This window comes from Homo sapiens, chromosome X (assembly GCF_000001405.40).
Source record: "Homo sapiens chromosome X, GRCh38.p14 Primary Assembly".
Classification (NCBI taxonomy): Eukaryota; Metazoa; Chordata; class Mammalia; order Primates; family Hominidae; genus Homo; species Homo sapiens.
The window spans coordinates 156,013,108-156,028,456 of NC_000023.11; the positions used below are offsets into that span (position 1 = coordinate 156,013,108).

At 54.5% G+C, this 15,349-nt stretch overlaps 1 long non-coding RNA gene and 2 pseudogenes across 2 annotated transcripts; 1 reads left to right on the forward strand and 2 right to left on the reverse strand.

Annotated features, from left to right (window-relative positions):
* WASIR1 (WASH and IL9R antisense RNA 1) lies at positions 1,457-3,723 on the reverse strand. Its single transcript, NR_138048.1, has 2 exons — positions 3,555-3,723; positions 1,457-2,518 (listed from the first exon to the last, which is right to left on the reverse strand). It is a non-coding gene; the product is annotated as a WASH and IL9R antisense RNA 1 (long non-coding RNA).
* Positions 8,551-12,563, forward strand: WASH6P (WASP family homolog 6, pseudogene; annotated as a pseudogene).
* On the reverse strand, positions 12,551-15,076 carry DDX11L16 (DEAD/H-box helicase 11 like 16 (pseudogene); annotated as a pseudogene). Its single transcript, NR_110561.1, has 3 exons — positions 14,723-15,076; positions 14,229-14,337; positions 12,551-13,730 (listed from the first exon to the last, which is right to left on the reverse strand). The product of NR_110561.1 is annotated as a DEAD/H-box helicase 11 like 16 (pseudogene) (transcript).
* Positions 15,077-15,349: the final 273 nt, after the last annotated feature.

Genomic DNA, 15,349 nt, shown 5'->3' on the forward strand with positions numbered 1-15,349 from the left:
AGAGTGTTTTGGGGCTGGGAGCGCTGAAGTTTTGAAGGCAGGATGAAATGGAGACTGTTAGCTCCCTGGGTCCTGAGCTACAGGGAGCAACTCTCCTGGGTGCTCTCATGCTTCCTGCAACCTGAGCAGAAAGAAGTACCTGTAGCCTGATGCCCCCAAAGGCAAAAGCCCCTTCTGGCTCAGATAGGCAGCCCTCCCACCCTGCATGCCTGCAGAGCTTCTGGGGTTTTGTGGGGAGCCTCAGCAGAGCTGGATCCTGGTCTGTGGGGGCGAGGCAGGCCCCAGAATGTATCTTTAGCATCCAGAGAGTGGGAGGGGTGTGGACGGAAGCGAGGTACAGGCATCCTCAGCTCTAACCAAGTATAAAAATACTAGTGTGAATCCACTTCCTGGAGCTGGGCTCTGGGGAGCCCCGGGCTAGTGTATTTATAACAGGGGCTGTGTGGCTCATGAGGCTCCATGTGTGACCTGGGCTACCTCATGATCACATAAACGAACCCACAATTGGGATGCCTCTCCTGTGTGGCCTGGACACCTCTTCATTCAACTCATAAACTTTCCCTGAGTGGGCCCTGGAGAGCTGGTTCTGGGCTGGAACCTGAGAGTGAAGCCACTGGAGGCTGTGTAATTTGTAGGTGAGTCACTCAGTCACCTAAGCCTGGCCCTCCCCTCTGCACAGGGTGCTAGCCATACCTAGCAGACTGCTGTGAGTTCACCTGAGCAAGACACCTGCACACAGTGGTGCTCAGAAAAAGCTAATAATTCCTTATTGGAATGAGACAGGCCTGGCATGGTGGCTCATGCCTGTAATCCCAGCACTTTGAGAGGCTGAGGCAAGCAGACTGCTTGAGCCCAGAAGTTTGAGACCAGTCTGGGCAACATGGCAAAACCCTATCATCTCTATGAAAAATACAAAAATAATTAGCTGGGCATGGTTGTTCAGGCCTGTAATCCCAGGTACTCGGGAGGCTGAAGTAGGAGAATCACTTGAATCCGGGAGGCAGAGGTTGCAGTGAGCCGAGATCACGCCACTGCACTCCAGCCTGGGCAACAAAGTGAGACTCCATGTCAAAAAAAGAAAAGAGGCCAGGAGCAGTGGCGCATGTCTGTAATCCCAGCACTTTGGGAGGCCGAGGTGGGTGGACCACAAGGTCAGGAGTTCAATACCAGCCTGGCCAAGATGGTGAAACCCCGTCTCTACTAAAAATATAAAAAAAAAAAAAATTAGCCAGGCATGGTGGTAAGTGACTATAATCCCAGCTACTTAGGAGGCTGAGGCAGAGAATTGCTCAAACCCAGGAGGTGGAGGTTGCGGTGAGCCGAGATTGCGCCACTGCACTCCAGCCTGGGAGACTGAGCGAGACTCCGTTTCAAAAAAAAAAAAAAAAAAAAGGAAAAAAGAAAGAAAAGACCCCAGGACCATACATATTTACAGCTCAGTATTAACTAACCTTAATGAAATATGATTTTATTTAAAATGGTCAAGGTAAAGGAAAAAAAAGAGTAGTGACTTTCTTCAAGTAATTTTATGGTATAATATCAAAGCTTGATATAGTTAATACATTTCATCTAATATAGGAATGAGAATGCTTATAAAGCAGACGTCATTTTATGTACCATTACAAATACACTGCCAATTAAACAGACTTTCTCAACAAAAGACTGTTGTTGACGAGGTGACTTCCATTAGACACACAAAATGGTTTGTTTTTGTTTTCATTTGTTTTTGTTTTTTGAGACAAGGTCTCGCTCTGTCGCCCAGGCTAAATGCAGTGGCCTGAGAATGATAATGTGCCTGCTTTTCCATTTCCTGTGTTGTTTCCACTGCGTTAACAAAAGAGCCTTAAAACACAAAGCACTGGCCGGGCCCAGTGGGTCACGCCTGTAATTCCAGCACTTTGGGAGGCCGAGGTGGGTGGATCACCTGAGATCAGGAGTTCGAGACCAGCCTGATCAACATGGAGAAACACCGTCTCTACTAAAACTACAAAATTAGCCGGGCGTGATGGCGCATGACTGTAACCCCAGCTACTCGGGAGGCTGAGGCAGGAGAATCGCTTGAACCCGGGAGGCAGAGGTTGCAGTGAGTCGAGATCGCGACATCGCACTCCAGCCTGGGGAGCAAGAGCGAAACTCCTTCTCAAAAGAAAACAAAACAAAACAAACACCGAGCACTCATCTAGGGGCGCCTGTTTCATTGGCCTTAGACTGCGGTGCCTGCTGGTCCCCGACCTCACGAGGGCATCTCTGTGTTCCTCCTCCTTTCCCCGTACCAGGGTCAGCCCCAGGTGTCCCGGAGATGCAGCCCCAGGTGTCCCAGAGATGTCCTCATCGCGGACGTGGCCCCAGGTCTCCTCAGGTGTCTCGAAGCCATGGCCCCTCCTGGGTGGGTCCTGAGGAGAGAAAACTCCGTCCTCACAGTCCTCACACCCAGGGATGCCGCTGTACGGATCAGACGCAGTTCTACTGTGGCGCTCCGGGTTTGGCCGGGCCCCCTAATGGCAGCCGTGGAGAATCCCTGAAAATTAGCGTTTGGATTTTTCCATGCCGTGATTTTGGAAATTTCAACTGACATGGAGCCCACCATCCCGTGCCCCGACCGAAACCCATGGAGACAGCAAGCAAAGAAGATGGCCAGTTCACGCCTGTAATCCCAGCACTTTAGGAGGCCGAGGCAGGAGGATCACTTGAGCTCAGTGAGTTCGAGACCAACCTGGCCAACATGGTGAAGCCCCCGTCTCTACTAAAAATACAAAAAAAAAAAAAAAAAAAAAAATTAGCTGGGCGCCGTGGGCAACAACTGTATGTAGTCCCAGCTACTTGGGAGGCTGAGGGAGGAGAATCGCTTGAGCCCAGGAAGCGGAGGTTGCAGTGAGCAGAGATTGCACACCTGCACTCCATCCTAGTCAACAGAGTGGGGCTTCCTCTCAAAAAGAAAGAGGGCAGGGCATGGTGGCTCACACCTGTAATCCCAGCACTTTGGGAGGCCGAGGCGGGCAGATCACGAGGTCAGGAGATTGAGATCATCCTGGTCAACGTGGTGAAACCCCGTCTCTACAAAACATATAAAAATTAGCTGGACATGGTGGCCTGCTCCTGTAGTGCCAGCTTTGGGAGGCTGAGGTAGGAGAATCGCTTGAACCATGGAGGCAGAGGTTGCAGTCAGCGGAGATTGCGCCACTGCACTCCAGCCTGGGTGACAGAGCGAGACGCCGTCTCCAAAAAAAAAAAAAAAAAAAAAAAAAACAAAAAGCAAAAAACAAAATCAAAAACAAACATCCAGCACTGATCCCAGGGGCCTGTTTCCTCGGCCTCAGGCTGATCTCCCGACAGCGTCTCCGCGTTCTTCCTCCTCTCCCGGTACCAGGGTCTCTTCCCAGAAAGAAACTCACATCCGTAACCTGCATCTTGGCCTGAACTGGGGGTGACCCGCCCAAGCCTCCATGAAGGGGAATCTCCTACAAAGTGAGGTCCTGCTACAAAGTGCACGACGGGAAATGCAGCCGCGCTCGCTCCGCCACACTCACACCGGGGGCGGGAAGCCTTTTCCTCACCTTGGCCTCGGCCCCAAGTGGTGTCCCGGAGATGCAGCAGCGTCTCCCAGTCCTCACCGCGGACGCCGCCCCAGGTGTCCCCAGGTGTCCCCAGGTGTCTCGAAGCCGCGGTCTCTCCCATGCGGGTCCTGGGGAGAGGAAGCTCAGTCCTCATAGTGGCCGCAAAGTGACTGCCGCTGTGTGGATGAGACGCGGTGCGTGCACGGCGCCCCGAGTTGCCAGGGGCCATGCGCCCCCTTGCGGCAGCCATGGGGAGTCTCTGAAAATCAGCGTCTAGATTTTTCCAGGCTGTGGATTTTGGAAATTACGACTGAAATGGAGCCCACCATCCCATGCCTTGATCGGAACTCATGGAGCAAGGAAGCAAAGAAGATGGCCAGTTCATGCCTGTAATCCCAGCATTTTGGGAGGCTGAGGCGGGCGGATTACTTCAGGTCCAGAGTTTGAGACCAGCCTGGCTAACATGGTGAAACCGCATCTATACTAAAAATACAAAAATTAGCTGGGCATGGCGGCACGTGCCTGTAATCCCAGCTACTCAGGAGGCTGAGGCAGGAGGATTGCTCGAACCCAGGAGGCGCAGGTTGCAGTGAGCCAAGATCATGTCACTGCACTCCAACCTGGGTGACAGAGCCAAACTCCATCTCAAAAAAAAGATGGCCAGTAGGCAAAACTTAATTGATTTTCTTTCTTTTCTCTTTAAGAGACAGGGTCTCGCTCTGTCACCCATGCTGAAGTGCAGTGGTGTAATCACAGCTCCCGAGTTCAGCCTCCAGCTCCCGGGTTCAAGAAATTCTCCAGCCTCAGCCTCCCAACACACTGGGATTACAGGTGTGAACAACTGTGTCCGGCACCACCTGATTTTCCTTTATTTATTATTTTATTTTTTATGGGCGGGGCAGGTCTAACTATGTTGCCCAGGCTGGTCTAGAACTCCCAAGCTCAAATGATCCTCCCAACTAGGCCTCCCAAAGTGCTAGGATTACGGGCGTTAGCCACCACACACTGCCTGATTTTCTTTCTATCATCAGCAATAATGTATAGGAATAATTTGAACTTGAAATTTGAAAAAAATACCATTTACAATAGCATTCCCAAATTTAATTTATTAGGTATAAATCTAACAAAATACATACAAATATGCATTCAGAAAACTTTAGATCACGGTTGAGAAGAATCAAAAATATTAAATCAAATGCAGATACTCCTTGTTTAGGAGCAGTACACTCATTATTGTTAGCTTTACCACAAAGCTAAAGCAATGAAGAGAGTGATATTGGTGAAGGAATGGACAAACAGCTCAACAGAACACAATACAGAACCCAAAAAACCCGAGTAAATACATTCAATTGATTTTGTCAAAGGGGCAAAAGCAATTCACTGGGGAAAGAAAAGTCTGTTCCACAAATGGCAATAGACAATCGGAAACCATACGGAAAACACTGAATGTGGACAAAAACTTCATAGCTCACCCCCAAAAAATCACTCAAGATAGTCTGTAGCCTTAAATGATCAAATATAAAATTGTAAAAGTTTTATAGAAGAAAATCCACGTGACTTTGGGTTGGTGATGAGTTCTTAGATACAATACCAAAAGCCAGTCCATAAAAGAAAAAAAATGATAATTTGGACATCATTAAAATTTAAAATGACTACTCTGTGAAATATCCTGTTAAGAGAATCAAAAAATAAGGCACACACTGAGAGAAAATATTTATAAAACAAGCCTGAAAAAAAGACTTGCATGCAAAATATACAAAGACATTCTAATACTCAACAAGAAGAAAAACAACCCAATTAAAAGATAAAGACATGGAATAGGAACAGCTCCAGTCTACAGCTCCCAGCCTGAGTGACGCAGAAGATGGGTGATTTCTGCATTTCCAACTGTGGTACTGGGTTCATCTCACTGGGGCTTGTCAGACAGTGGGTGCAGCCCACAAGCTTGAGCCGAAGCAGGGCGAGACATCGCCTTCACCCGGGAAGCACAAGGGGTCAGGGAATTCCCTTTTCCTAGCCAAGGGAAGCTGTGACAGATGGCACCTGGAAAATAGGGTCACTCCCACCCTAATACTGGCGCTTTTCCAACGGTCTTAGCAAACCGCACACCAGGAGATTATATCCCACGCCTGGGCTCGGAGGGTCCCACACCCACGGAGCCTCGCTCATTGCTAGCACAGCAGTCTGAGATTGAACTGCAAGGTGGCAGCAAGGCTGGTGGAGGGGTGCCCGCCATTGCTGAGGCTTGAGTAGGTAAACAAAGTGGCTGGGAAGCTTGAACTGGGTGGAACCCACCACAGCTCAAGGAGGCCTGCCTGCCTCTGTCAGACTCCACTTCTGGGGCCAGGGCATAGTCGAACAAAAGGCAACGGAAATCTCTGCAGACTTAAATGTCCCTGTCTGACAGCTTTGAAGAGAGTAGTGGTTCTCCAAGCACGGAGTTTGAGATCTGAGAACAGACAAACTGCCTCCTCAAGTGGGTCCCTGACCCCCGGGTAGCCTATCTGGGAGGTACCCCCCAGTAGGGGCAGACTGACACCTCACATTGCCGGGTACCCCTCTGAGACCAAGCTTCCAGAGGAACGATCGGGCAGCAACATTTGGTGTTCAGCAATATTCACTCTTCTGCAGCCTCCACTGCTGATACCCAGGCAAACAGGGTCTGGAGTGGACCTCCAGCAAACTCCAACAGACCTGCAGCTGAGGGTCCTGACTGTTAGAAGGAAAACTAACAAACAGAAAGGACATCCACACAAAAACCCCATCTGTACGTCACCATCATCAGAGACCAAAGGTAGATAAAACCACAAAGATAGGGAAAAAACAGAGCAGAAAAACTGAAAATTCTAAAAATCAGAGCGCCTCTCTTCCTCCAAAGGAACAAAGCTCCTCACCAACAATGGAACAAAGGTGGACGGAGAATGACTTTGACGAGTTGAGAAAAGAAGGCTTCAGATGATCAAACTTCTCCGAGCTAAAGGACGAAGTTCGAACCCAGTGCAAAGAAGTTAAAGACCTTGAAAAAAAGATTAGATGAATGGCTAACTAGAATAACCAATGCAGAGAAGTCCTGATGGAGGTGAAAACCATGGCACGAGAACTATGTGACGAATGCACAAGCTTTAGTAGCCGATGCGATCAACTGGAAGAAAGGGTATCAGTGATTGAAGATCAAATGAATGAAATCGGGGTCAGGGTCAAGGGTCAGGGTCAGGGTCAGGGTCAAGGGTCAGGGTCAGGGGTCAGGGTCAGGGTGAGGGTCAGGGTCAGGGTCAGGGTGAGGGTCAGGGTCAGAGTCAGGGTCAGGGTGAGGGTCAGGGTCAGGGTCAGGGTGAGGGTCAGGGTAGGGTGAGGGTCAGGGTGAGGGTGAGGGTCAGGGTGAGGGTCGGGGTTAGGGTTCAGGGTCGGGGTTAGGGTTCAGGGTCCGGGTTAGGGTTCAGGGTCCGGGTCAGGGTTAGGGTCAGGGTCAGGGTTAGGGTCAGGGTCAGGGTTAGGGTCAGGGTTTTAGGGTCAGGGTTTTAGGGTCAGGGTCAGGGTGAGGGTCAGGGTCAGGGTGAGGACCCTTTACAGCAGATGAAGGCCTCTCCCCAGCCAGAAAAGATGGAGCACACGCTGGGTGGTGGCCCCGCTTCCTCACTGGAAGGAGATGGTGCTCTTCTTTTTTCTTTCTGAATTGTGGCCACCTTCATACCAGTCTGTCATGGAACACTTAAGCCGCTTGAGTGCCTGCTGGTACTCCCAGCCCTGCCATGCCTGAGCCCCCTGCACACAAGGAGCCAGGAGTAATCAGGGCAGACCCATTAGGGCACGGGGACTTCTGGATTGTGAAATTGGCTCTCTGGGGGCCAAGGCCTTCTAACGTTGGTGGAAGTGGCTTTGGCTTATTGGGTCGGATTCTAGGCCATTCGTTCCAACCTTTAGAGACATCCCAGCTTTCCCTAGCCCAGAGTCTGCAGCCCCTCCACCATCCCACATCCTCCCCCTCCCTTTCCTCATGAACCCCAGTCGCGCCTCTGCCTTCTCAAACCCCTCCACCATCCCACACCCTCCTCCTGCCCTTCCTCATGAACCCCAGTCACGCCTCTGCCTTCTCATCCCTGCGCGCCACACAGGCTCGCTCGTGCCCGGTGAATGCTGAGGCTGCTCTGCACGTGGAGTGTGGCCCTGTGGGCAAGGGCTGGGCTCTTGGAGGTAGGGGAGCTACAGGGGCGACTGGGAGGAGGATGTTGTGTTACACACGCATCAGAGTTAACTTTGCAGTGAGAGCAGCCTTGCTGCGGCCAAAGAACATGGAAAAGCATGAGTGGGGTGATGTGCCTTAAAGCATCAGACACTTGGGCCTCGGGCATCAGGAGCCAGCCACAGGGATGTCTGGGGAAATGGCGTTCCATGAGATGCAAGCACACAAGAATGCACTTGGCACATCTGGGGAACAGCAGGCAGCTGATATCACTGGGCCCACCCCGCACCAGGGAGGATGGAAGCAGGTGAGGAGCTAGACCACACTGAGGCGGTGGTCGGGACTCAGAGTTTGCTCAGTGAGCCGTTCACTAGGTGCAGGGGCAGTTCCCCGTCTGAATTTAGGTGACGACACTCAGGTCCAGCCTTGCCAGTCTCAGCCTCCGGTCTCCGTTCCCCCTCTGCAGAGGTCACTTTGTCTGCTGCACGTGATTATGAGGGGTTGTGAAGTGCTTGCCCCATCAGTAGCCAGTGTGCATGTGTAAATACCATCCTCTGTGTGCCCTGGAGGCTGTCCTTCAGATAGCATGTACAGGTGGCAGCATAGGGCCTGTCCCTAGTGAGAGTGCAGGGAACTCAGCACCGTCAACTCCTCGACCCTGCAGGTCAGATTATCCTTGTAGAGGCCCCCTGGATGGCACCAAGATCGGCCCTGGCAAGCAGGTGACCCTGACTTCAGAGCCCTTGCCTGAGGGCCTGGCCTGGCAGCTCTGCTGTTAGAAGCAGGAGGTGTGCAGGGGGTGGGGAGCAGCCCAGCCTCTGTGATCTTCTCCATGGCAGGATCTCCCAGCAGGTAGAGCAGAGCCGGAGCCAGGTGCAGGCCATTGGAGAGAAGGTCTCCTTGGCCCAGGCCAAGATTGAGAAGATCAAGGGCAGCAAGAAGGCCATCAAGGTAGTCCCCATACCCCTGTGTCCTGAGGCTACTGGGCAGTCCCTCCATTTCCCCATGCCTCTGAGGCCGCCCATTCTCTGCCCTGCTGCCCACCTGTACCTTGGGCTTTCTTCTCGCCCAGGCTTCCAACTCCACCCTCTCCTGCCAAGCAATCCTAGCCCTCTGAGCCTCTTAGGGCCCCCTCAGACTTGTCCCTGTGTCCACAGGTGTTCTCCAGTGCCAAGTACCCTGCTCCAGAGCGCCTGCAGGAATATGGCTCCATCTTCACGGGCGCCCAGGACCCTGGCCTGCAGAGACGCCCCCGCCACAGGATCCAGAGCAAGCACCGCCCCCTGGACGAGCGGGCCCTGCAGGTCTGCTGGCTGCGCACATAACTTAGCCTGTCACACACCAGGAGGACTGGATACTGGGGAGGAGCCGGGGCCACCATAGGGTTCTGTCCCCCAGAGGAGGCTGACTGGGATGGGGTGGCAGCTGATTAGGCCCAGCACCAAATATTCACCATCCCTTGGCCATCCTGGCCCTCTCAGGAGAAGCTGAAGGACTTTCCTGTGTGCGTGAGCACCAAGCCGGAGCCCGAGGACGATGCAGAAGAGGGACTTGGGGGTCTTCCCAGCAACATCAGCTCTGTCAGCTCCTTGCTGCTTTTCAACACCACCGAGAACCTGTATGGCCAGAAGGCAGGGCCGAGGGGTGTGGGCGGGAGGCCCGGCCTGGCTTAGTGGGGACCCAGGGCATCAGACACAGGTACAGCACATAGGCCAGGAGCCAGGGGGTGACTGGGGTGGCTCGGCTCGGGAGGCCTGGGACCCCACAGTGCACGCTGTGCCCCTGATGATGTGGGAGAGGAACATGGGCTCAGGACAGCGGGTGTCAGCTTGCCTGACCCCCATGTCGCCTCCGTAGGTACAAGAAGTATGTCTTCCTGGACCCCCTGGCTGGTGCTGTAACAAAGACCCATGTGATGCTGGGGGCAGAGACAGAGGAGAAGCTGTTTGATGCCCCCTTGTCCATCAGCAAGAGAGAGCAGCTGGAACAGCAGGTGGGAGGGGTGGGACAGAGGTGGAGACAGGTGCAGTGGCCCAGGGCCTTGCCAGAGCTCTTCTCCAGTCAAGGCTGTTGGGCCCCTTATTCCACCCATGGGAGGTGCACACAAGGTCTTGTTGGCTGCCCCTGCAGGTCCCTGTCACCTCTCACATGTCCCTGCCTAATCTTGCAGGTCCCAGAGAACTACTTCTATGTGCCAGACCTGGGCCAGGTGCCTGAGATTGATGTTCCATCCTACCTGCCTGACCTGCCCAGCATTGCCAACGACCTCATGTACAGTGCCGACCTGGGCCCCGGCATTGCCCCCTCTGCCCCTGGCACCATTCCGGAACTGCCCACCTTCCACACTGAGGTAGCCGAGCCTCTCAAGGCAGGTGAGCTGGGTTCTGGGATGGGAGCTGGGCCGGGGACCTCCCTGCTGACACACCTTCTTCCCTAGACACCCCGCACTTTGTGTTTCAGACCTACAAGATGGGGTACTAACACCACCCCCACCGCCCCCACCACCACCCCCAGCTCCTGAGGTGCTGGCCAGTGCACCCCCACTCCCACCCTCAACCGCGGCCCCTGTAGGCCAAGGCGCCAGGCAGGACGACGGCAGCAGCAGCGCGTCTCCTTCAGGTGGGAGCAGCTCTTTGAGGCCACCTGATTTCTGGCGTGCTCAGTGCACTCGGGTGGATTTTCTGTGGGTTTGTTAAGTGGTCAGAAATTCTCAATTTTTTGAATAGTTTCCATTTCAAATATCTTGTTCTACTTGGTCCATAAAATAGTGGCTTTCAAACTGTAGAGCTCTGGACTTCTCACTTCTAGGGCAGAGGGAACCTGAACAAGTGAGGCTCTGGGTTCCCCATTCCTAATTAAACCAATGGAAAGAAGGGGTCTAATAACAAACTACAGCAACACATTTTTCATTTCAGCTTCACTGCTGTATCTCCCAGTGTAACCCTAGCATCCAGAAGTGGCACAAAACCCCTCTGCTGGCTCATGTGTGCAACTGAGACTGTCAGAGCATGGCTAGCTCAGGGGTCCAGCTCTGCAGGGTGGGGGCTAGAGAGGAAGCAGGGAGTATCTGCACACAGGATGCCCGCGCTCAGGTGGTTGCAGAAGTCAGTGCCCAGGCCCCCCCACACAGTCTCCAAAGGTCCGGCCTCCCCAGCGCGGGGCTCCTCGTTTGAGGGGAGGTGACTTCCCTCCCAGCAGGCTCTTGGACACAGTAAGCTTCCCCAGCCCTGCCTGAGCAGCCTTTCCTCCTTGCCCTGTTCCCCACCTCCCGGCTCCAGTCCAGGGAGCTCCCAGGGAAGTGGTCGACCCCTCCGGTGGCTGGGCCACTCTGCTAGAGTCCATCCGCCAAGCTGGGGGCATCGGCAAGGCCAAGCTGCGCAGCATGAAGGAGCGAAAGCTGGAGAAGAAGAAGCAGAAGGAGCAGGAGCAAGGTGAGCGGGCCCTGGAGCCTGCGGTCGGAGGGCCTTGGGCAAGATCGCCTCCTCCCCTCCAGCCCTGAGTCCACTGGGTGCTTTCTGCCCACCCCCTGCTCTTGCCAGCTGGCCCCTGCTTCCCCTAGGGCACATGCTGGAAGCCCTGGGCCGCCACCAGAAGTCCTCAGCCCTCCTGCCTGGGCTATGGCTCCTTCCTGGTTTGGGAGCCATAGTGAAGCTTTCCTCTCTAAGCTCACCCAGCCCAAACTGTGACAGGAGAATCTTCTTCGACTGCCAAGAGCGGTCCAAGGCAATGGTCAGCCACTGCAGCCCCCTGAGATATTTTTAGAGACTGGACCTGAGGCCTCTGGAGGCTACTGATGATGCCTGCTGTGAACGCAGACACTGGTGTGATGCGATGCCTGCGCCTGCAGCGGCAGTGCCCTGGGCACTATGGTTTTGAGCTTGTACCCAGCGCTGCTTTTGCCTTGCTCTGTGACCCCAGGCAAGCTGCCTCACCTCTCTGGGCCAGTTTCCCCATCGTACAGTGGTGCTGCACACCCTGGCCCTGGCCCCGAGGTGGCTGGGAGGTGGCTCCTCAAACAGCCGCTTTCTCATCAGTGCCCGGTGCTGGGTCAGGGATCGACTGAGGCTCTGAGCTAACTAGGAAACACAGTGGCCTTGGAGGGCTGGGGAGTGTCATGGGGGTGGGGACAGGGAGCCACCGGTCGCATGTGACTGAACTCTTCACCCCAGTCTGTGGCTTTCCCGTTGCAGTGAGAGCCACGAGCCAAGGTGGGCACTTGATGTCGGATCTCTTCAACAAGCTGGTCATGAGGCGCAAGGGTAGGAGGCAGGGCCGCTGCCCGCCCTGGGTCGGCACCTTGTAATTCTGTCCTGCCTTTTTCTTCCTGTATTTAAGTCTCCGGGGGCTGGGGGAATCAGGGTTTCCCACCAACCACCCTCACTCAGCCTTTTCCCTCCAGGCATCTCTGGGAAAGGACCTGGGGCTGGTGAGGGGCCCGGAGGAGCCTTTGCCCGCGTGTCAGACTCCATCCCTCCTGTGCCCCCACCGCAACAGCCACAGGCAGAGGAGGACGAGGACGACTGGGAATCCTAGGGGGCTCCATGACACCTTCCCCCCCAGACCCAGACTTGGGCTGTTGCTCTGACATGGACACAGCCAGGACAAGCTGCTCAGACCTGCTTCCCTGGGAGGGGGTGACGGAACCAGCACTGTGTGGAGACCAGCTTCAAGGAGCGGAAGGCTGGCTTGAGGCCACACAGCTGGGGCGGGGACTTCTGTCTGCCTGTGCTCCATGGGGGGACGGCTCCACCCAGCCTGCGCCACTGTGTTCTTAAGAGGCTTCCAGAGAAAACGGCACACCAATCAATAAAGAACTGAGCAGAAACCAACAGTGTGCTTTTAATAAAGGACCTCTAGCTGTGCAGGATGCAAACGTCTCGGGGTCAGTGACTGCCTCCTGCCCCTGTTGGTCCCTAGGCAGTGGGGGCAGAAGCTCCCAGCTGACCTGTTTCTCTGGGAGAGAAGGGCAGTCAGCAGGGGCAGCTGTTGCAGATGGGAGGAATAGTCTCCCACAAAAAAGGTTTCAGTGACAGACACGGGGTCTCTAAAAATAGTCATGCTGAGAGCCCAATGGCCCTTGGCACAATTGCTGGTGTTGGGGTAGAAGATGTCTTGGAGTTTGCTCAAGTGGTTGAGAGGGAGGGAGGTGCCATCAACTTGGAGGAACTGGCACCAAGCCAGGGAGATAGAAATCCAGGCAAGGCTGTGGGGCAGGTTAGGGAGCAAGGCTGCAGGGGTGACTCAGGAAGAAGGTGGGGGAGGTGACAAGCCCCCAGGCAGGGGCCCTGTGGCCATGGGGATCTTTTTAAATTGAGACTAGGGGGTGAATAGTCCAGGGCAGCTAACTTTAGTTATTATAGAAAGGGCAGTAGCAGATGGGTCTGCTCCGTCTCGCTTCTAAGAAGGTGGGCAGGACAAATGGCAGCCTCCTGCAGAGGCCCAGTGAGAAGCCTGGCCCTCGGCCACACAGGATGGAAGACAGATTGGATTCCACAGAGGGGAGCTGCCCTGGGAAGATCTCACGGATGGCCAGGACCCACCATTTCTTCGGGGTTCCCCTGTTTTCTCCAACGGGCACTAATGCCTGTGCCTGGGTCCTGGCAACACTCTGGACTCCACACTCTTCTGGGTTTCACCTTTGTAGCAGGATCCCTGCAGATCAGGCCCATGACAAACACCGTCTCCAGCGGGCAGAGCAAAGGAAGGGCGCAGCGCCAGGCAGTGGTGCAGCTGCCTGTCAGGAAGAGGCCTACTTCTGGTGAAACTGGGCAGACAAAAGGCAGTGAGAAATGTGATCTCGGGGTGGTGGAGGCTCTAGGGAAAGGAAAAGGCAGGAGTGAACTTCCACACAGCAGCAATGGCAGAACCAAAGGTGGCTTTGACCTCCACGAGGGCTCAGATCCAGGCCAACAGCTTGTCCAGGACAGGGTGCCGGGTGTATCACTAATCCAGGAGCACTATGCTGGCAGAATCCCTTTGGTGCCTGATGGCCCTGCCTTCGTGGGAACAGAGGCTAAGGCTTTGAGTTACAGCTGCCTCCCCAACAGTGCATCCCCTTCTCCTTCCTCAGCCTCAGGTAGGAGACAGGGCAGGCAACCCCCCTTTCCTCTTCTCCCCTTCTCCAGCCCCTGTCTGTCCACCCAGCTGGAGGCAGCCAGGCTTGCCTATGGACTGGTTGACAGCCTTCATGCACAGGTTCTCCACCAGAGCCTTTCTTGGGGGCCCCTGGCTGGGCTCTGAGCTGGGAGTGAAGGGGATGACCCATGCGGACTGTTTGCTGCTTGTAGCTTTCCCTGGGAAAGACTCTGCCAGGCCTTGGAGCCAGACCAGGAGGCTTTATAGGCCACTGCAAGCAGCAGGGCTCCAGATGACATCACAGGGAATATCAAGAGGGTGTGGAGGGGCATCGAAGCCTCTCCAGGAGACAGGAGACGCCGGCCCAGTAGAGCCCTAGGGGCGACGCCACTCCCACTCACTGTCTACTCTCCTCTCACCTCTGCAACACTGGGGACACTCACAAGATTGTGATCCAAGTCGGCCGTCGTCTTCTGCAGCTCTGGAGACCTGATGCTGGGGAAGGGCATGCCTGGCATCACCACACACCTGGGAGGAGACAGGAGCCTGGGGCCGGTGGGCCCACACATCACCAGCTGCTCCGTTCTACCATTTCTTCAGCCCTCTTGGCTGTGCCTGCGGCTCTGCCCCTCCCCTCTCTGCACCTACCACCCAGAGAGGGCTTGTTGAGCTCAGAGATCCCACCTAGGCCAATCCACTGGGTTCTGTGGCAGCGATGGCCTGCCTGATCTTCCACCTGCTCTCCCAGGGCCAAAGCCAGACCTGCTGAGCCCCTCCCTCCAGCCGGCTGGTCTGAGCAGTCACAGCCCGGCTTTGGGCTCCGATGGCAGCAGATGGCAGGTAGGGGTCCAGCTGCTGGAGCGAGGGCCGGCCACGTATCACAGCCAAGGAGATGAGCACAAGCACTACTTACTGGCCTAGGTTGTCAGAGAAGTTGATGCTCTCACTCATCTTTCCTCCAATCTTTCCCCTATGCCTGGTTGTGGTATTAAGTTACATGCAGACAACAGGGGCCAGAAGATGAACAATGGCCCATCCCACTCTAGGCATGGCTCCTCTCCACAGGAAAACTCCACTCCAGTGCTCAGCTTGCACCCTGGCACAGGCCAGCAGTTGCTGGAAGTCAGACACCTGCAGATCAAGACCACAGCATCAAGACCCTGTGACCTCTCAAAGGCCTGGTGGAAAGGACACGGGAAGTCTGGGCTAAGAGACAGCAAATACACATGAACAGAAAGAAGAGGTCAAAGAAAAGGCTGACGGCAAGTTAACAAAAAGAAAAATGGTGAATGATACCCGGTGCTGGCAATCTCGTTTAAACTACATGCAGGAACAGCAAAGGAAATCCGGCAAATTTGCGCAGTCATTCTCAACACCGGCCATGCAGCAAAATCATCAGTGGAAATTTAAAAAAATACACGTGGCCAGGCCCCAGCCCAAATCACTAATAAGAATCTCCAGGGCTTCACCTGTTAGACTGGCAAAAAATCCAAAAGTAAACACTTTGTGGAGAAACAGGCACTCCTAGACATTGCTGGTG